General features: G+C 43.2%; 1 protein-coding gene across 1 annotated transcript in view, besides 3 other annotated features; it reads left to right on the forward strand.

Moving 5' to 3' along the window:
- The window catches only part of ITK (IL2 inducible T cell kinase), a 74346-nt gene that overhangs the window by 18334 nt on the left and 34963 nt on the right, over positions 1 to 21049 (forward strand). The window contains exons 2-5 of the mRNA NM_005546.4: positions 9716 to 9820; positions 12114 to 12195; positions 15018 to 15146; positions 18694 to 18734. Of these exons, the coding sequence (NP_005537.3) occupies positions 9716 to 9820; positions 12114 to 12195; positions 15018 to 15146; positions 18694 to 18734 (357 nt within the window). The remainder of the gene's footprint in view (positions 1 to 9715; positions 9821 to 12113; positions 12196 to 15017; positions 15147 to 18693; positions 18735 to 21049) is intronic.
- Positions 17493 to 17552: an enhancer, noted in NCBI's record as "active region_23502". NCBI's record gives its function as "activates an Ori minimal core promoter by ATAC-STARR-seq in GM12878 lymphoblastoid cells {active_cell/tissue: GM12878}" and the evidence as "EXISTENCE:reporter gene assay evidence [ECO:0000049][PMID:35858748]".
- Positions 17593 to 17672: an enhancer, noted in NCBI's record as "active region_23503". NCBI's record gives its function as "activates an Ori minimal core promoter by ATAC-STARR-seq in GM12878 lymphoblastoid cells {active_cell/tissue: GM12878}" and the evidence as "EXISTENCE:reporter gene assay evidence [ECO:0000049][PMID:35858748]".
- Positions 20693 to 20742: an enhancer, noted in NCBI's record as "active region_23504". NCBI's record gives its function as "activates an Ori minimal core promoter by ATAC-STARR-seq in GM12878 lymphoblastoid cells {active_cell/tissue: GM12878}" and the evidence as "EXISTENCE:reporter gene assay evidence [ECO:0000049][PMID:35858748]".

The following is a 21049-nucleotide window of genomic DNA, read 5'->3' on the forward strand; positions in this document are numbered from 1 at the left end:
CTTGCCTCAGGTTGCACAGCTGATAAGGAATGAGGTTAGGATGCAAACCTGAGTCTGCCCTACTTGAAAGCTCCAGTTCTCCCCTACTCTGCCTTACCAGAGGAGAAAGCTGAAAACTGCTATTTTTTTAGAAACGTGGAGATGTCCTTTTCCCATGGGTAGCAGACACATAACTTCTCATCGACACATTTGCTGGGCTAGTCCAGCAGCAAAAGAGCCAATGTTGTTGGAGCAAAGAGGAGTGGCTATTCTGAGGAACCAGGGAGTGTGTTCCACCTTTGCAATCCAGCATAAGCATTGCTCAGTCAAATGGGACAGAAACAAAGCTCTGCGAGTCCATGGCTTGGTGAAATGGGTCACACAATTGATTTTCCAGCACTGAGTTCAGGGAATGATAGTCTTCTGTGGAAAGTCCCAGCAAGTGCTAAGCCAGGAAGCATAGTAGTTAGGTTATCAGGCTCTGGAGTCATAGAGTGGAGCTTGTACGCTGCTCTTCTACGTATTAAGAGGGTTGGCCTCTGTGAACTTCAATTTTCTCATCTATAAAATGGGGAGATAATATGTTGTAGGATCGTGATGAAACAGGATGGAATGTTGAATGCCTGGAATATAGAAAATGTTCAAAAATAGTATCATTTTCATGTTTTTTCCTGCTTCTCTCTTTGAAACTTATAATCCAAGCTCTATTTCATAAAAATATTAACATAAAAAGCCGCCCTGCCCCCTCATCTATCTATCAAGCAATGCACATTTATGGGAAACCTGATGCTGACCCATTTGTAAACAACCTGTTTCTGGGTTGGGGTTTTGTACATAGCAGAGCAGCTCCTTCTCTGTGAGATCTATTGAAAGTCAGCCCTTAATACAAGGGTTTGTTAAAAAAGAGAAAAAGAAAAAGAAGGAAAGAAAGAGAGAAAGGAAAGAAGAAAGGAAAGGGGAAAAGAGAGAGAGAAATAGTAACATAAAAAGAAAAAAGATATAAAAGCTGATTGCACAAGCTTACCCTTGTGAAGATTTGTAAGCATCAGCATCTTGAATTGTGTCTGACACGTGTCAGATGCTTGGGATGAAACATCAGACTATGAGGATGGCATATCTTTGAACGTGGCCAAGAAAAGAGACAAGGGTAAGCAAGGTCCTGTGACTTTCGCCCCAAGTAATGCAGACAGAATAACAAGTAAGAATGAGAGCAGGTTGTACTTGGCCTCTCCCTTTCTCTGGTGGCTTTTGTGTGGTTTCCTTGGAAAGTTTTACCCTGGCATTTTTCAGAAATAGCACAGTTGTTTGGGATGATTATAGGCAATCACCCTTTCCCAGAGACTGAACTGTGTCGGGCTCATTGACCAGCCACCCCCCGGGGACCAACTAGGGAGGACATAGCTGGTCCTGCTGTTTACCAAGTATTGGATCTTGTGAGATGCCAGAAGAACCAACCTCAGGGTCTTTGGAAAGACTGACCAACCAGTCAGGATGGATTGTGGTGGTGGATCCCAAGCACTCATTTGGGAATGAGAGTGACGTTGACGGTGGAACATGAAATCCATCCCAACAGAAGAGCAAGCCTGAGAGCAAGCTCATCTGACAGCCTGTTAAGGCACAGGCACAAAGGAGGCCATGTGAGTTGGTAGGAGAACTCCTCCTTGGAAATCTTGGAGTCTCGCTGTCCACTAAGGTAACCACTAGCACCTGAAGTCTACTGGCATAGGGGTCTACTGAGCACCTGAAGTATGGCAAGTGCAAATTGAGATATGCACAAAATATACAATTTCAAAGACTTAAGTACAAAAAAAACTCATTAATTTTTGTGTGGATAACAATTTTTTTAATATACTACAACCAAGTAAGATTTTATTTTCACAAATGCAATGTTGGCTCACTATCCTAAAGTCAATTAAGATAATATACAATATTACTTGAATAAATGTCAAAAAAGAACATTTCAATAAACAAAGAAAAATATTTGACAAATCCAACACTCTTTGTGATAAAACCCCCAGTACACTAATAGAAAAAAAATTTTGAGTCTTGCAAAAAGTCATCTATGAAAACCTACAACTAACATTATACTTAATGGTGAAAGACTGAGTGCTTTATCTGTAAGTTTGGGAACAAGACATAAATTTCCACTTTTTTTTTTTTTTTTTTATGGAGTCTTGCTCTGTCACCCAGGCTGGAGTACAGTGGCATGATCTTGGCTCACTGCAACCTCCACCTCCTGGGTTCAAGGGATTCTCCTGCCTCAGCCTCCCGAGCAGCTGGGATTACAGATGCGTACCACCATGCCTGGCTAATTTTTGTATTTTCTTAGAGACAAAATTTTACCATGTTGGCTAGGCTGGTCTCAAACTCCTGACCTCAAGTAATCCACCTGCCTCAACCTCCCAAAGTGCTGGGATTACAGGCATGAGCCACTGTGCCTGGCCAATTTCCACTTTTAACACTCTATTCGACACTGTTCTGCAAGTACTAGCCAGATAAATTACACTATAAAGTGAAATGAAATTCTCCAGATTGAGAAAAAAAAGTAGAACTCTTTTTCATTGCACACCACATAATTTTCCACAAAAAAAAAAAAAAAAAAATTGTAAGGAACTTCCTAAAAACCCACTAGGACTATTAAACAAATTCATCCATGTCAAAAGATACAAGATCAACATACAAATTAATTTTTTTAACTTTTATTTTAGGTTCAGAGGTACATGTGCAGGTTTTCATATAGGTAAATTGCATGTTGCAGGGGTTTGGTGTACAGATTATTTCATCACCCAGGTAATAAGCATAGTACCCAGTAGGTAGATTTTCAATTCCCACCCTCCACCCTCGAGTAGGTGCCGGTATCTGTGGTGCCCTTCTTTATACCCATATGTGCTCACTTTTTAGCCCCCACTTACGAGAACATGCAGCATTTGGTTTTTAGTTCCTGTGTTAGTTCACTTGGGCTAATGGCCTCCAACTCTACCCATGTCGCTGCAAAGGACACAATCTCATACTTTTCTATGGCTGCATAATTCTCCATGGTGTATGTTTACCACATTTTCTTTTCTTTTCTTTTCTTTTTGAGACAGAGTCTTACTCTGTCACCCAGGCTGGAATGCAGTGGCACGATCTCAGCTCACTGAAACCTCTGCCTCCCGAGTTCAAGCAATTCTTGTGCCTCAGCCACCCAAGTGCCTGAGATTACAGGTGTGCACCATCATGCCCAGCTAATTTTTATATTTTTAGTAGAGATGGGGTTTCACCATGTTGCCCAGGCTAGTCTCGAACTCCTGGCCTCAAGTGATCTGCTGCCTTGGACTCCCAAAATGCTGGGATTACAGATGTGAGCCACCACGCCTGGCCTCACATTTTCTTTATTCATTCTTTTGTTAATGGGCATTTAGGTTAATTCTATATCTTTGCTATTGTGATTAGTGCTGTGATGAACATATGTGTATATGCGTCTTTATGGTAGAATAGTGTATATTCCTCTGGGTATATACCCAAGAATGGGATTGCTGGGTCAAATGGTAATTCTGTTTTAAGTTCTGTCAGAAATCACCTAACAATTTGAAATGATAATATTTTAGATATTGGGTTAAACAAAATTTATTGTTAAAATTATTACTTGTTATGTTTTGCATTTTTGAATGTGCCTACTGGAAAAACTTTTAAGTTACATATATGGCTCATGTTACATTTCTATTGGACACTATCACTTTAGAACTTCACATAGAATTTTTATCCCTGTTCACAATTCCAGTTAATATTTGCCTCCACTGTCTGCCCTCATCACAATGCTGCTAGGCTGTTAACAAGCCAGACTTACCCAGTATTTTTCTACCCCAGGATTTTGCCCTGGCTGCTTGCTCTACCTGGGATGCTCACTCCCCTAGACCTTCTCCCAGATGGCTCCTGTTCGACTTTTTGGTCTCTTCTTAGATGCCCTTTCTCTCTCCAGAGAGGTCTGCCTTGGCCACAGTTTGGTCACATCAACTGTTCTATTCTCTTTCCAGCACTTCTTTGTTTTGTCTGCCTTCCCAAGTATACTACGGGCTCTGTGAGAGTCTATCATGTTCATCAGTTCATTTCCTGAACTCAGAATAGCACCTCACTCATAGCTGGCCCTCCATAAATATTTCCTGAATGGCTAAATGTACTAGCCTTAAATCTGTTTAAGATTGTTTAAACTGTGTTCCAACCTGACACCCTTTGTTTTGAGCTAATTAAGCTCCACTGAGGGCCAGCCACTGCTGGGCACTGGGTATATGGGAAGATGCCCTGGTCTCTGACCTTAGGGAGCTCAGGACCTAGTAGGTTCCAAAGACAAAAATGTCAGCAAATGGAGTTGTCATATCACATGCCATGAGCCTGTTGTTTTTATTTCACTATGCATGCCCTAAAGAAAGAACCCAACAGAGGTCAAAACACAGCAACCTCAAGCTCGTGCACCCTGTTTACCAGTAGCTGCAGACAGTTCTTGAAAAGGCAGCTCCGCTGTGCTCTACTATTTGTGAAAAAACAGGTTAACCATTCCAAAGAACTGTGATTATGGGCAGGACCAGAGCTTGCATTTCTAACAGTAAATGAGAAGATAGTTTGAGCCCAAAGGGCACGTTTGCAGAGGCTTTTGCGGGAAGACAAACCTCCTAATTTAGCATTAGACTACAAAAGCAAGTTCTAGACTGATATGTAGAGCAAGACACTCATTTTCCTTTATATATACCCTATAAAAGTGCAGGGAAAAGACAAATATACTCCAAATGATTAACTTTGGCTACCTCAGGGTTATGGGGAAGGGTGGGATAATAACACACTATAAATATTTTCTTCACATGCCTCTGTAGTATTTTGTTTTGTTTGTTTGCTTGTTTGAAACGGTGTCCTGCTCTGTCACCCAGGCTGGGGTCGACGGCACCATCACTATCACAGCTCACTGCAGCCTGAAACATATGGGCCCAAGTGATTCTCCCACTTCACCCTCCCAAGTAGCTGGGACTACAGGTGCACACCATGAGGCTTGGCTAATTTATGTAATTTTTTGCATTGTCTCACTATGTTGCCCAGGCTGCTCTCGAATTCTTGGGCTCAAATGACCTCCTACCTCAGCCTCTCAAAGATCTGGGATTGGCTGGGCATGTTGGCTCATGCCTGTAATCCCAGCACTTTGGGAGGCTGAGGCGGGCAGATTGCCTGAGCTCAGGAGTTCCAAGCCACCCTGGGCAACATGGTGAAACCCCATCTCTACTAAAATACAAAAAAAATTGGGGACCAGCGCAGTGACTCACGCCTATAATCCCAGCACTTTGGGAGGTTGAGGTGGGTGGACCACAGGGTCAGGAGATGGAGACCATCCTGGCTATCACGGTGAAACCCCCTCTTTACTAAAAATACAAAAAATTAGCTGGGCGTGGTGGCACATGCCTGTAGTCCCAGCTACTCAGGAGGCTGAGGCAGGAGAATCGCTTGAACCCAGGAGGTGGAGGTTGCGGTGAGCCGAGATCACACCACTGCACTCCAGCCTGGGCGACAGAGCAAGACTCCATCTCAAAAAAACAAAAAAGAGAAAAAAAAAAGATCTGGGATTACAGGCATTAGCCACCATACTGAGCCTCTACAGTGTTTTCATTTGTCACAAAAAACATAAATAGATTTTGTACTTTCAATAATGGATAAAGTTGTTTTTACTTAAAAAACTAAAAACCAGACACCACAAAGCTTTCCTGTATTTGATAGGGTCTGCTTCTCGCATCTTGAATTTTTTTTATCTCAGTTCTGTTCCTCAGCTACTAAATCAAAGATCAGCTTCCGGGCTGAGGACCCAAAAACAGGAAGTAAAGACTGAATTCACTTTGGGAGAATTTGATGATGTAATGGGTCCCTGGATATCAACCAAGCACGCTCATATATCACAAATCTCTTGCGATAGTTAAGGCTTCCTTAACTTCTTTAATTGGGAAGATACCCTTTATTGAGGGCATCTGTTATAAGCCAGTTAATTTGTTGACATCATCCTATTTTATTCCCCAATCAACTCTCAAAAGGTAGGTATTATCCCCACTTATCAGATGTAAAAACCAGGGTTCTGGGAAGTTTAATGAATTGCCCAAAGTCACAGAGCTCTTATAGTAAGAGGCAGAGACCTACTTTAAACATAGCTTTCCCAAACGTGTGCTCATTTCACCATCATTTGCTACCTCCTTAAAAAAATAAGGTAGAATGGGGTTTGGGCCACAATCCTGAACACCATAATCCCAAATATTGAAATACAAAATGTAAAAATACCCAAAAATATAATTCTGGAAAAAATAATTTTAAAAACTTTTTTAAAAGACATTTGTTTACATTTTAAAGTGGATTTATTTGAGAAACATATGAAGACATGACGAAATGCTTCATAGGCCACCTTGTGCAATAAAATAGGCAATAATAATATACATATTTTTGCAAACATAAACACCCAAGTATACTAAGGACAGTCACATGGGTATAACAGTTATGAGCAGACAAACTATATTCCTAAAGAAATAGCTGGTATTCAAGGGGAACGCCTTCAGCTTTCGCCCATTCAGTATGATGTTGGCTGTAGTTTGTCATAGATGGCTCTTATTATTTTGACGTACGTTCCTTTAATATCTAGTTTATTGATAGTTTTTAACATGAAGCAATGTTGAATTTTATTGAAAGCCTTTTCTGCATCTATTGAGATAATCGTGATTTCTGCCTTTAGTTCTATTTACGTGATGAATTACATTTATTGATTTGCATATGTTGAACCAACCTTGCATTCCTAAAGCCTACTTGATCATGTAAAAAAGGATTAGCCTTTTTTTTTTTTTTTTTTTTGAGTCAGTATTGCTCTGTCACCTATGCTGGAGTGCAGTGTCATGATCTTGGCTCACTGCAACTTCTGTCCACCTCAGCCTCCCGAGAAGCTGGGACTACAGGTGTGCACCACCATATCCAGTTAATTTTTGTAATTTTTTGTAGAAACAGAGTTTCACCACGTTTCCCAGGCTGGTCTCGAACCCCTGGGCTCAAGTGATCCACCCTCCTCAGCCTCCCAAAGTGCTAGGATTACAGGCATGAGCCACCACGCCTGGCTGGATTAGCTTTTCGATGTGCTGCTGGATTTGGTTTGCAAGTATTTTCTTGAGAATTTTTGCTTCGATGTTCATCAATATTGGCCTGAAGTTTTCTTTTTTGTTGTATCTCTGCCAGGTTTTGGTATCAGGATGATGCTGGCCTCATAGAATAAGTTGTGGGGGAGACGCTCCTCCTCAATTTCTTGGAATGGTTTCAGTAGGAATTACATTGGCTCTTCTTTGTACATCTGGTAGAATTCGGCTGTGAATCCATCTGGTCCCAGGCTTTTTTTGGGTGGTAGGCTATTTATTACTGATTCAATTTGGGAGTTTGTTATGGATTTGTTCAGGGAATTAATTTCCTCCTGGTTCAGTCTTGGGAGGGTGTATGTTGTCCAGGAATGGATTCATTTTTCTAGGTTTTCTAATATGTGTGCATAGAGGTGTTCATAGTAGTCTCTGATTATTTGTATTTCTGTGGGGTTAGTGGTAACATCCTCTTTGTCATTTCTAGTTGTGTTTAATTGGATCTTCCTTCTTTTCTTCTTTATGAGTATAGCTAGTGGCCTATCTATCCTATTAATTTTTTCAAAAAACCAACCCTTGGATTCATTGATCTTTTGAATAATTTTTTGTGTCTCAATCTCCTTTGGTTCAGCTCTGATTTTGGTTATTTCTTTTCCTGTATCTTAATTACAGAGATTATGACACAAATGTATACATTTGTCAAAACTCACTGAAATGTACATTGGTAAATTTTATTATATGTAAATTATACTTTAATAAAGCTGATTTTTAAAACAAAAAAACTAATATGCAATATATTTCACCTTTAAATTTTTTTAAAAAAGAAACAGCTTATATAACCATGGTCATCTGAAATGCTATGATAGACAACCTAAGTCTTTTAATGAGATTAATCAAAAACAGCAGAAGAAAATTCTGTCCCAACTCTCAGAGACAGACTAATTTGCCTTCAGTATTTGTTCTCTTAGGGTCCCTGGCTGATTCAATGGTGTCCACCAACACTGAGGGCAGATCTCCCCCACCTCGCCCATTCTGATACACATACTAGTCTACTCTGGAAACACCCTCACAGACACACCCCAAAATAATGCTTTATCACGTATCTAGATACGTCTCTTTTTTTTTTTTTTTTTTTTTTTTTTTGAGTCTTGCTCTGTCGCCCAGGCTGGAGTGCAATGGTGCGGTCTCCACTCACTGCAAGCTCCGCCTCCCGGATTCACGCCATTCTCCTGCCTCAGCCTCCAGAGTAGCTGGGATTATAGGCGCCCGCCACCACACCTGGCTAATTTTTGTATTTTTAGTAGAGGTGGGGTTTCACCATGTTGGGCAGGCTGTCTCGAACTCCTGATCTCAGGTGATCTTCCCGTGTCGGCCTCCCAAAGGGCTAGGATTACAGGCGTGAGCCACCATGTCCAGCCTTAGATACTCCTTAATCCAGTCAATTTGACACCTAAAATTAAGTCTACAAGTCCATCCCTTGTCTATTTGGCACCCATACATATCTTAAACCACACGTAATTTCCAAATGAAGACAATAACAAAGTAATAGTTCTGCCTAACAAGATGCAACTAACATAATGAGGCTATCCTGTGTACAACAGAAAATTCACTAATCGTGATTTTTGAGATTTTAGATGTTAAGGACTTAGACTTCAGGGATTTTTATCATTCAGGATTTCAGCATTCAGGACTATGACATTCAGAATCGTGTCTTTTGGGATTGATTGGTAGTGGGTATAATGACGTATTTTGCAACTGGTTCCATAGCTGAATTCCATAGCTGAATTCTCAATGGCAGCTCAATTCTAGGTACCTGTGAGAGGCTTCTTCCATCCAGAAGCACTTTCCTAACTATCTTTCCTTGGAGCCTGATAGACCACCAATGGAATTTGTTCCATTGGCTAAAGCATCAAATCCCCTGAGATCCATTCTCCAAGCACAAGGATCCTTAGAAATAGGTAACATGTAACATCATTATAAATCACAAATACCATCATGTGAATTAGTTATCAGGGAAATACAGCTAGCAAGTTTCCAAGGAAATGAGACACAGGCCCAGTAGTATTTGATGGGGAGGTTGGGGAGGACATGGAGAAGGGATAGTTATAGATCAGAGTCAGGAATGTCCTTTGGGAGTGTCATTGTGGGACTGCGGATAATTAAAGGACATGGAGAAGCCAGAGGCAGAAAAAAAAAGGTGCCACTAAGGGTATGCACCACAATCCAGGTCGGGTCCGAGCTCAATTACTATGCTAATATGGTCATGGATAGACACAGAGAAGAGAAAATTGTCATATGTGTGTCCATGGATTTCTCTACGCATCTCAGCTACAAGTTCTGCCAATGCTGCCATTTGTCACAAGGGCAGTGGGGTACATGACCCCGTGTCTCACTGAGTGGAAACCTGTCACCAAGAAGAAGACTCTAAAGGCATGTGTCCCCAGGAGTCTGCTCAGAGTGTTTATCCCACACTTAGGGCCAGGAGGCAGTTTTGGATATTTGGTTTGGAGGGTTGGAATAGGTTTAAAAAGCCAATGGATCTTATCTAGCAGTAGATTTCTGGAGCAATCTGGACAAAAATATTGTCTTCTTTCTTACATGAATGGGATGTTCTTCTCTCCCCACAGAAGAAGCGCACGCTGAAGGGGTCCATTGAGCTCTCCCGAATCAAATGTGTTGAGATTGTGAAAAGTGACATCAGCATCCCATGCCACTATAAATACCCGTTTCAGGTAAGTCCATCAGGTGGGTAGTTCCCCATTCCCTGGACTGTGGTTAAAATCTTCAGTCACAGCCGGGTGCAGTGGTTCAAGCCTGTAATCCTAGCACTTTGGGAGGTTGAGGCAGGCAGATCACGAGGTCAGGAGTTCAAGACCAGCCTGGCCAACATGAAACCCCATCTCTACTAAAAATACAAAAAATTAGCTGGGCGTACTGGCGGGCGCCTGTTATCCCAGCTACTCGGGAGGCTGAGACAGGAGAATTGTTTGAACCCAGGAGGCAGAGTTTTCAGTGAGCCAAGATCGTGCCATTCACTCCAGCCCAGGCAACAGAGTGAGACTCCGTCAAAAAAAAAAAAAAAAAATCCTCAGTCACTGTGAGAGAGGGTGGACACGGATGACTCTCTGCCTCTCTGCTCCAAGGTTAGGACTTAGACAAATCCCATTAGGAAACGTATGTGTTCCTTCCATCAGTGACATTTATTTGTTAATTCTTTCACTTATTGAACAAAAATTAAGCACAAAATCTTGAAAAGGTGGTTATTCCTTATACCCCTTTCCCTCATGTCTTCTCTTCCTCAAGGAAAGTCCTAATTAGTGAAGGAAGAAATAAAGCTGCTATCAGCGGCCTGAAACCTAATGTGCTTTAAGTGCAGTTTACTCATGATTTGAGGCAACATATTGCAATTGCTGGGTATGAATTGCTTGGAGATTCTGAGGCAAAAAGATTCAGATTTTATAATCTGAGGACTATCTGGAATCGCACTGTCTAGTACAGTAGCCACTAGCCACACATGGATGTTCACATTTAAATGTATTAAACGATATTAAAAATTCAGCTTCTTAGTCACATTGGGCACATTTCACATGTTCAATAGCAGGACATGGCTGGCAGCTACTGTACTGAAACAGCACTGGTTATAGAATGTTCCTATCACTGCAGAAATTTTTTTTTTTTTTTTGAGACAGAGTCTCACTCTGTCACCCAGGCTGGAGTGCAGTGGCGCAATCCCGGCTCACTGCAACCTCCACCTCCCTGGTTCAAGTGATTCTCCTGCCTCAGCCTACTGAATAGCTGGGACTACGGGCGTGTGCCAACACTCCCGGCTAATTTTTGTATTTTTAGTAGAGATGGGGTTTCACCATGTTGGTCAGACTAGTCTCAAACTCCTGACCTCGTGATCGACCCGCCTCGGCCTCCCAAAGTTCTACTGAACAGAGCTGGTGGAGGGTATCTTTAAAGTCCTTGTATATGAATCTTGGCACTTCTGGCTTCAAAGGCATGGATATCTCCTTGCACATCCCAGGGTACCATTCCTGCTTGCCAACCTGAGGGATGAACATATTTTTAACATGGCATAGAAAAGAACTTTTTTTCTACTAGAAAAGTGACCCTCATGAGTTGGAATTTTGAGGACTGAAAATAAAAGGAATAGCATGTATTTTTCAGTTGTTCAAAATCTCAATGATAATGAGTGCCTAAAAGAGAGGTGAAATATAAAGAAGACTGCAGTTTAGTTAACAGTATTGTACCAATGACAATCTCTTGGTTTTTTTTTTTTTTAATTTTTTTTTATTATACTTTAAGTTTTAGGGTACATGTGCACATTGTGCAGGTTAGTTACATATGTATACATGTGCCGTGCTGGTGCGCTGCACCCACTAACTCGTCATCTAGCATTGGGTATATCTCCCAATGCTATCCCTCCCCCCTCCCCCCACCCCACCACAGTCCCCAGAGTGTGATATTCCCCTTCCTGTGTCCATGTGATCTCATTGTTCAATTCCCACCTATGAGTGAGTTTTGAAAGATGTGTTGTGGTTACGTAAGATGTCATCAGTGGAGAAAAGTAGGTGAAAAGTACACAGGAACTCTGTACTATTTCTGGAACTTCTTGTGAGTCTTAAACTATTTCAAAATAAGAAGTTTTCAAAACTCTCATTGCACATTTGTCATATAATATCTTTCTCTTCCATGTGCCAGAAATATTTTTTTAATCACTAAAAACTTAAGATGAGAAATAAATGTGGTTTCTAGTCAAGAGGAGAACTTTCTCCTGCTGTCTTAGTTTAGTGATTGCTCTCTTGGGGCATGGAATCTGAGACGAGCAGCTGAAACTGCTTACCCTGTGTTTTTGTAGCACCCAAACACCTGGATAAAAAGGATACTGGCCCCCTAATTACCCAAATGTTTGCCTATATGACGATAAACACCCGAGACCCCACTCTCGGCTCAGTAGGTCTGCTGTCAGTCAACTATCTCCATGCACGCTGCTCACCTTGAACTCTGTGTGTGTGTCTCCAGGTGGTGCATGACAACTACCTCCTATATGTGTTTGCTCCAGATCGTGAGAGCCGGCAGCGCTGGGTGCTGGCCCTTAAAGAAGGTAATTAAACTCCTTTGCCATTGAATCACTGACACTCTTGATCCTATAGTAGGGTTGGGTTCCACAATAGAATAGAGTGTGGTGTGAGAGCAGCTGATGGCTGATTTCTCTTTTGGGGTTGGTGGAAGTTCCCAAGTTTTCATCCTGGGCCCAGGAAGCAATAACTGGTATCATTCAGGGATTGACCAAATCCAGCCTGCTGTCTGTTCTTGTCAGGCTCTGAGCAATATTTGTATATAACTCATTTCAAATAGTTTAATAAGTACCTACATAAGATGCTTGATTTTGTCTCATGGTCAGTAAAACCTAAAATATTTACTGTCTGGCCTTTTAAGAACAAATTTGCCAACTCCTCGTATAGTATGAAGAAGCAGAGCATAGGCCCTCATGTGAGATGACCTGGGTTTAAATCCCAGTCTGTCACTTGCTATGTACACTTGGGCGAGTTCCTTAATTGCCTGTGCTTCAGTTTCCCATCTGTTTAAAAGGAAGAAAAGGAAGGGATAACAGCACCTGCCTTTGGAGCTGATGTGAGCAAAGTCCTAGAAACTAGGTTGGCCCATAGACAGCATGCAATAAATATCAGCTAGCTTTCAAGCTTTTCAGACCATTGGTAAGGGTATTTCTTAAGCCTTACCTTCCTGATGGCACAGTTAGAGGCAGCAGTGTTTAAGCACATGGGATGTGGAGCCAGGCATGAAGGTGAAAATCCCAGCTCTGCCAATGATTAGCATGTGACCCTGGGTAAGTTCCTTGACCTTCGTGTGTCTCTATAAATTTTGACTAAAAACAGTCATGGAGCTGTTGTGAGAATTGAATGATTGAGGACTTAGAAAAATACCCATCCCAAAGAAAGCCCTGGATCAATGTTACCATTATTGTTCTTTAGCCTGAAGCACTGGATGTGTCAGAAGATCTGGGTTCAAATACTAATCTGCCTCTACGAAGCTGTGAGGACCAAGGATAAGCAAACTATTTGTTATCTCTGGAGCTGCAATTCCTCTATCTGAAAAAAATGAGAATAGAAATACAAGTTGTATCTTATCCCGAGGTTGTTGTGAGCCTTAAATCGGTTATGAGCAGACAAGTGCTGGGTGAATGGGGAAGTGCTCTCCGTTCTTACAGTCTTGGGACATACAGCAAACACAAAAGTAAGAAGTAATCAAAATGGGCTGGGCGCAGTGGCTGACACTTGTAATCCCAGCACTTTGGGCAGCCAAGGTGGGAGGATCACTTGAGCTCAGGAGTTCAAGGCTACAGTGAGCCATGCTCATGCCACTGCACTTCAGCCTGAGCAACATAGTGAGATCTCATCTCTACTAAAAATAAAAACATTAGGCAGGCATGGTGGCACATGCCTGTGCTCCCAGCTACCCGGGAGGCTGAGGTGGGAGAATCACCTGAGCCTGGGAGGTCAAGGCTGCAGTGAGCCAAGTGAGCCGAGCCTGGGTCACAGAGCAAGACCCTGTTCTTACCCCACCAAAAAAAAAAGAAGAAAAAAAAGGAATCAAAAGGGCCCCAGCTATGGTCATTGGCCATTTGCCCTCTGTGAAGGGATTTTATACACAGGGTGTTAAAACTGGAAGGAATATTAGAGATTAGATATCTAGTTCTGTGGTTGGTTCATTTATTTATTTATTCATTGAGACAGTGTATTAGTCCATTTTCACACTGCTATAAAGATATGCCCGAGAGTGGGTAATGTATAATGAAAAGAGGTTTAATTGACTCACAGTTCTGTATGGCTGGGAGGCCTCAGGAAACTTACAATCATGGTGGAAGGTGAAGGGGAGGCAATCACCTTATTCACAAGGTGGCAGGACAGAGAATGACAGAAGGAGGAACTTGCCAAATACTTATAAAACCATCAGGTCTCATGAGAACTCACGTATTATCACAAGAACAGCATGGGGGAAAATATCCCCGTGATCCAATTACCACCACCTGGTCTCTCCCTCAACACGCAGGAATCATGGAGATTACAATTCAAGATGAGATTTGGGTGGGGACACAGAGCCAAACGATATCAGACAGGGTCTCACTCTGTTACCCAGGCTGGAGTGCAGTAGCACAAGCATGGCTCACTGCAGCCTCGACCTATTGGGCTCAAGTGATCCTCCCACTTCAGCCTCCTGAGTAGCTGGGACTACAGGTGCATGACACCATGCCCAGCTAACTTTTTTCTTTTTTTTTGGTAGAAAAGGGGTCTCGCTATGTTGCCTAGGCTAATCTAGAACTCCTGGACTCAAGTGATCCTCTTGCCTCGGCCTACGAAAGTACTGGGATTACAAGCATGAGCCACTACACCCAACTCTGTTCTGTGCCTTATGTATGTATTTGTTTCAGTAGCAGACCCCCCTTTTTTTTCCAACCAAAATCTTACTTCAAAGCCACAAACCTAGAAGGGAGAAAACCAAAGTGGCTGTGGTTAAAGGTAGGAGAGGTGGGGGGTGGTAATTCCACCTTCTCAACCTTCTCATTACCCTTAAGGCACCTTTGTAGAGCCCAGTGTTTAACAATCTCATTGCATAGTGGGGGAAACTGAGGCTCAGATAAGGGTTTGCCCAACTTAAGAACACATAACTAATGCAAGGCAGAGCCAGACGCAAGCCTAGATGTGCTGATGCCTAAATGTAACATGAACTACCCCAGTAAATAGCACAGTGCATTTATGCGCTCAGATCAACCCATGCTTCTGAGTGGTCTGGGCAATACTCATTCAGGCTCACTCAGCCAGGTCTAATCTCGAGGTGTTATAAAATTGGTAGCCCTTGATAGACTGACCTGGAAATAACTCTTCTGTTGGTGCCAACCTGTTTCAGAAACGAGGAATAATAACAGTTTGGTGCCTAAATATCATCCTAATTTCTGGATGGATGGGAAGTGGAGGTGCTGTTCTCAGCTGGAGAAGCTTGCAACAGGCTGTGCCCAATATGATCCAACCAAGAATGGTAAGAGACTGGGAATTCCCTCTAGTTTTTGTGAAATGACCATAAAAAAGTAAAAGCTTTTGGCCTTTAATCATTGAGGGTGTCAGGAACAGAATGCAAAATTCTACATTTTCAGAATTTTCCAAGAGGAATCATCTGTCTTTCCTACCAGCCTGTTGGTGCTTCCATCTCAAAGCTGATGTCTACAGCTCCTAACCACTTGAAGTGTGCTCTTTGGACCAGCAGCATCAACATCTCCTAGGAGTTAGTTAGAAATGCAAATGATCTGGCCCCACTCATGACCTACTAGATCAGAATTTTCATTTTAACAAGATCCCAGGAGACTTATGTGCACAGTACAGTTTGAGGAGCCCTGCTATAACCTGCATTTGAATGGCATGGTCTATTTAAATCTTAATTAAAGAGGCAGCCTTAAGAGATATAAAATATTTATGTCTTACAGTGACATCATGTCACACATAAATTTAATTACACAAATTCAACTCTATACCCTTAAAGGTGAGAGGAATTTTTTTTCTTTTACATTTTACTCTGTGATTTCTCCTTGCCTCCTCTTCAAACTTGCCCTTGACCTCCACAGTCTCAGAGAGGAGAAGGCCGCAGTCTAAATGCAAAGTGAAAACAAAAAAAGCTGTTTTTTTGCCTTTGACAGTAAAGGCTCAGGTCCAGGGGATTGGGCTGCAACTGGATTTTATTGATGACTTTGGAACCTTAACCTCCAGTCGAGTACAACTCCACTCGAATGCATTTCACATTTATTATGCTCTTGTTCCTCTCAACCATCTGGGGTACATGGCGTGATGTTAAGGGAATGGGCTGCCTTGAGCAATTCAGTATGCTCCGGGTCACACCGCTGGAAGTGCTCTGCAAATCCATTGTCGAATAGGAATAATGGCCCATGTGGATTGTTTTCCTTCCATTTTCCTCTCTTCTCAACCTCTTTTGCCATAGTTTCCCTTTCTCATTTATTCTTTTGTGCGCTAAAACTTAATACTGAAAATTGGCAACCCAAGGCGGATGTAACACATGGCTAGGTTTTCTGTGGCTTCCTGATTCATAGGCCCTCTCATTGCCACTTTAAAAACCACCACTTTTCACCCTGCACCTTGGGGAAAAAAGCTCTTAGACATAATCGATCCCTGGGCCCAGAAGAACAATACTTAACAAGTTTTAGAAATTGGTAACTATTCAAGTGATCCTACACATTAGTCCTGTTTACCATATTCATGCGGGCCAATATTTAATAAAAATGAAATGGAAAGTTTTCTCTGGATAGGATCCACCATAATAACAGAACGGCATGGGCTTACCTCTGTGAGTGAAAGCCCTTTCCAAAGTCAGTGATCTGGTCTCCAAATTTCTGCCAATGCCTTGCTGTGGGCCCTCAGATGAGTCACGTGGCCATCAAGGGCCCCAATGTCCTCATCTCAAAAATGGCAGGGAGTTCTGAGGGGCTTAGGATGAAATAATACCTAAGCCCTTTTCCAATTCTGAAATTCTTTGACTTGGTATTTCCATTTTGTAATTTTCACCATGCATGCTGCAGCTATTCCTCTTCGGGGCGCAAGTATTTCCCTCCTCCAAGTGATACACATGTGACTGAGGTGCTAGGGACATCTGAATGACTCACCAGAATGCCAGTGGGGGAGGACTGGTCATGCTGAGCTGTTCCCCATGTGAAACCAGGGCCTGAGCACTCTTGGGGTCCTGCTGTGGTTGTCATGCAGTCACTGTGCTAATGGTTTTGCTTTTGCATTGCAACCCATTGCCATATCCTCCTCTGAGCATCTCCTCACTCTACCCTCTTCTGATTTGGTTAAATAACTTCATGGATCTGAGTTTTGCACAGTTGAGAGCAGAGTTTTCAAGAAGCACACTGCACTGTGAACGCAGCTTATGGTCATCACCCTGGATGAAGGCTCACAGGATTCCTGGTACCGAGCACATTGGCAGTGCGGGTCTATGAGCACTGGGCTTTGGATAATCCCTCTGAGCCTCTAAGAGCATTTTCTCACCTGCAATATGGGGATAATGATAATAGATAGCTATGTGTAAGGCTGGGAGATTCAATGGTGTTGTGGAAAGCAGTACAGCTGCCAACATTTACAGAGTTCTTGATAAATGGTAATTGTGTCTACTTGTCTTCCTTATTGGTGGATGAAAGAATCTGAGGCTGAGATATAGCCTCAGAACTTGTATGGGTCTGGGAAGCAGCAGAAGTGGATGAGTAAAAACAGACCCAGCCACACCCAACCCATAGTAACACCCATTTCTGCAACCAGAACTGGCCCTGATCTCCCCACTGTGGGGAGGGAAAGGAAGGAAGGGAAAAGCAAGGCCAGAGGACGAAGAAAGAGAGACCAGTCATAGAATGTCCAGGGCTGGAAGTGGCCAAGGCTCACAGCTAGTATTGGTGAAGCCAGAGTTAGAACACCAGTCTCCCAGCTCCAAGTTGAGTTCTAAATAGGAACCATACTTCCTATTACAGGGGTTTTCCTTCTTCTGTGGTCATTGTATACCCAGGTCACTATCCCAGCCTACTCTTTCTTGGCAAGTCTGCACGGGACTGGGCTCCAGTGTCAATGTGTGACTCTCCTCTACCACATCCCTGATGTGAGCTGTCCAACTTCAAGTCAACCTCATACAGAAATGAGGAACTCATCGTCTACCTATGCAGCCCATTCTCTTCCCATCTCTCGTTATTAAGGACGTCTTTGTATTAGCCTGAAGTCTGTGCAGTGCCTCCCGTACCACAGAGAGCCCCAGACACAGCCACACACCTTTGATTCATTGAGTCCAGGAATGGCCTTTGCAGAGCTACAAAGGAGAAATAGTGAGAGATGCATATGAAGAGATGAGAGGAAGGAGAGAGAGAAAGAGAAAGAGAGAGGAGAAGAGAAGAGAAAGGAGGAAAGAGGGAAGAGAGAGGAGAGCTAAACAGACGGAGACATGGAAACAGAGATAAGCAGAAAGACAAAGACAGAGAGATGCTGGGGTTGGTATAGTTTGAAAGAGGCAGAAAGAACACATATTCAGATGCCTTAAGGCAACTAAAAGTGGATCCCAGCCCACTCAAAAAGCAGCACAATGACCTCCCACCTCAGCCACCCCCTCCTCAAGCCCACAACCATATCAGGAAGCTAGTGAGTCACTGTCCCCCTGAGTCACCAATTCCCACTCCTGAGCTTAGCAGGTGGCAGAGACATTCCCGGAAGTCTCTATGCCTACAGGGAAGGGTGCAAGTCTAACCCCACTGGCAGGCTTTTCCTGGGAATACAGAAAGAGAGGGCCCCCGAATATGGACTTCTGGAAGCTTCTGGTGTGTACTAGAAAAGGGAATCAGAAACCAGCAGGCCCAAGGAGATAAAAGACAGCTTCTGACAAGGCCAAGTCAGGTTTCACTGTGTCTTATTGCTCCTTCTGGCCCCCTTTCTTCTGTTGTTTTCCCTGGGCCCTTTTTCTCAGAAAAACCCCCTGGCTGCTCACTTCCGGTTGGGTCCATTAGTTTTCATGCTCATTTTTTCTTTTCCTGTTTTTCTCTTTTCAGCTTCAAAGAAGCCTCTTCCTCCTACTCCTGAAGACAACAGGGTGAGTGAGAGCGCTAGCTCCGGGTGCAGGTGGGCCCACAGGCTACCTGATTGGCATGTTCCTATTTGCATGTCCCCCTCTCCCCATAGTTTTCAAACCCTGGCTGCATGCAGCAGGCTGTCATGATTCAGCAGAACTCAACACATTGGGTATTTTTGGGCTTGAACTCTCTTGGGGGGTCTGTCCACTTAAAGGACCATTCAGCTGCTAAATCTCCATCTCACTTTATTTATTCAACAAATACTGATATCAAATTGGGTGGCCATTCACCTGACCACTTTGGAGTATAGTAGCAGCTCACTCTACATAAAAGTGTGTCTGGCATGGTGGCTCACGTCTGTAATCCCAGCACTTTGGGAGGCCAAAGTGGGAGGATCGCTTGAGCCCAGGAGTTCGAGACCAGCCTGGACAACAAAGTGAGACCCCCATCTCTAGAAAAAATTTTTAAAAATTAGCTGGTGTGGTGGTGCACACCTGTAGTCACAGCTACTTAGCAAGCTGAGGTGGGAGGATCACTTACTCCCAGGAGGTCGAGACTGCAGTGAGCCATGACTGTGTGCCACTGCACTTCAACCCGGGTGACAGAGCAAGACCCCGTCTCCAGAAAAAAAAAAAAAAAAACAAGGTGCACATCTACTCTTCGCAAGCATTTTGGAGACATACATTTGTTGATATTTTATATATTTCAAAGCACTTCCACCCCTTTATTATCTATTTTAAAACTTACTATCCGTTCTATCCACTTCAGAGGGTTTTAGTTTTATTCTCATTGTAAAGCTTGGGAAATCAAATCCCAAGACAGGTCTTGAGGCTTTTCCAAGGCCATTCAGCAACTTAGTAGGATGCAAGGTTTCTGGCGTGGTGGTCTTTAACTCGAGTGGTGGTTCTCAAAGTATAGTCCATGGACCAGAAGCATCTGCATCACCTGGGAGCATGTTAGAAATACAAATTCTTAGGCCCCACCCCCAGACCTGCTGTGTCCAAAACGCTGGGGGAGGGGCCCAGGAATCTGCATTTTAATAAGCCTCCTCACTGATCTATAATATACTGACTTACAAGTCTTAGATGGCATAGTACCTACTCTAGGGCAGCTTATTTTGTTAAGGAGATGAAAAAAAAAAGATGGGGGAAAGGATCATGACCTTTAGGTAGGGAATATGACCCTGACCTTATGATAATATTAACACCAATATCCACTTTTCTTTCTTTTTTTTTTTTTTTTGAGATAGAGTCTTGCTCTTGTCACCCAGGCTGGAGTGCAATGGCGTGATCTCGGCTCACTGCAACCTCCGCCTCCCAGGTTCAAGCGATTCTCCTGCCTCAGCCTCCTGAGTAGCTGGGATTACAGGCGCTCACCATCATGCCCGGCTAATTTTTGTATTTTTAATAGAGACCGACTTTTACCATGTTGGCCAGGCAGGTCTTGAACTCCTGTCCTCAGGCGATCAACCCACTTCAACCTCCCAAAGTGCTGGAATTACAGGCGTGAGCCACTGTGCCTGACCAATACCCACATTTGAGTACTCGCTCTTCATTCCAGAGCAAGTTCTTTAACAAGAGCTTTCAGATTCCATTTCCTCATGCTTCTTCCTGAAGAATGAGCTCTGCCTTTTTTCCCTTCAGCCAAAATGGTGACATTTCAAAACTGGCAGCGTCCCCATAAAGGAAGCTCTAAATCCTCAAAGCCCCAGCCTGGTGTTTAGATCTGTCATCAGCCTACTCCCTCACAACATGAGAGAAATGTACTGAAACTGTAGCAGAGAATGAGCTCTCTCTCCTTTTCTTTCACTGACCTTCTGCAGACTATTTCACCATCCCCTTTGAAGGCCTGGTTCGGAACCCTACTGCCCTCCCTTGCAGACGGTTCCCTCAACAGTCCCGCCTAAACCCACACCTCCCATCTTAAGTGAGGCTGCTCTTGTGTCTTTATTTTTGGTATCAATGAAGGTGAAAGCCAGAAAACACTGCTGGTCCTTCTCTCCCTACACTCTGCCATTTGGCTTTTCAGCCTTCTTGGAGGAGCATCGTGGATACTGTTTTGAGTGTTCTGACCACAAAGGTTTTGGAATCATTGTTCTAGTTTCAACCGCATGTCTAAATCCAATGCAACGGTTCTCTTGTCTGAGCCACTTGAAATCATTTCTCTCCTCACCTTCTTGTTCTGCTGCCTGAGTGGTAATGACATCTCGGGTTGTCATACAGAGAAACTGTTTTTAATCCAGTCTGAGCCAACAGGTCTCATGCTCTATGTGAGAAACACTGTGAGCAGGGCCAGTCCTCCGGGGACTGGCCAGTCCTCTGGGGGTTGGGGGATG

This window comes from Homo sapiens, chromosome 5, assembly GCF_000001405.40.
Source record: "Homo sapiens chromosome 5, GRCh38.p14 Primary Assembly".
NCBI lineage: Eukaryota > Metazoa > Chordata > Mammalia > Primates > Hominidae > Homo > Homo sapiens.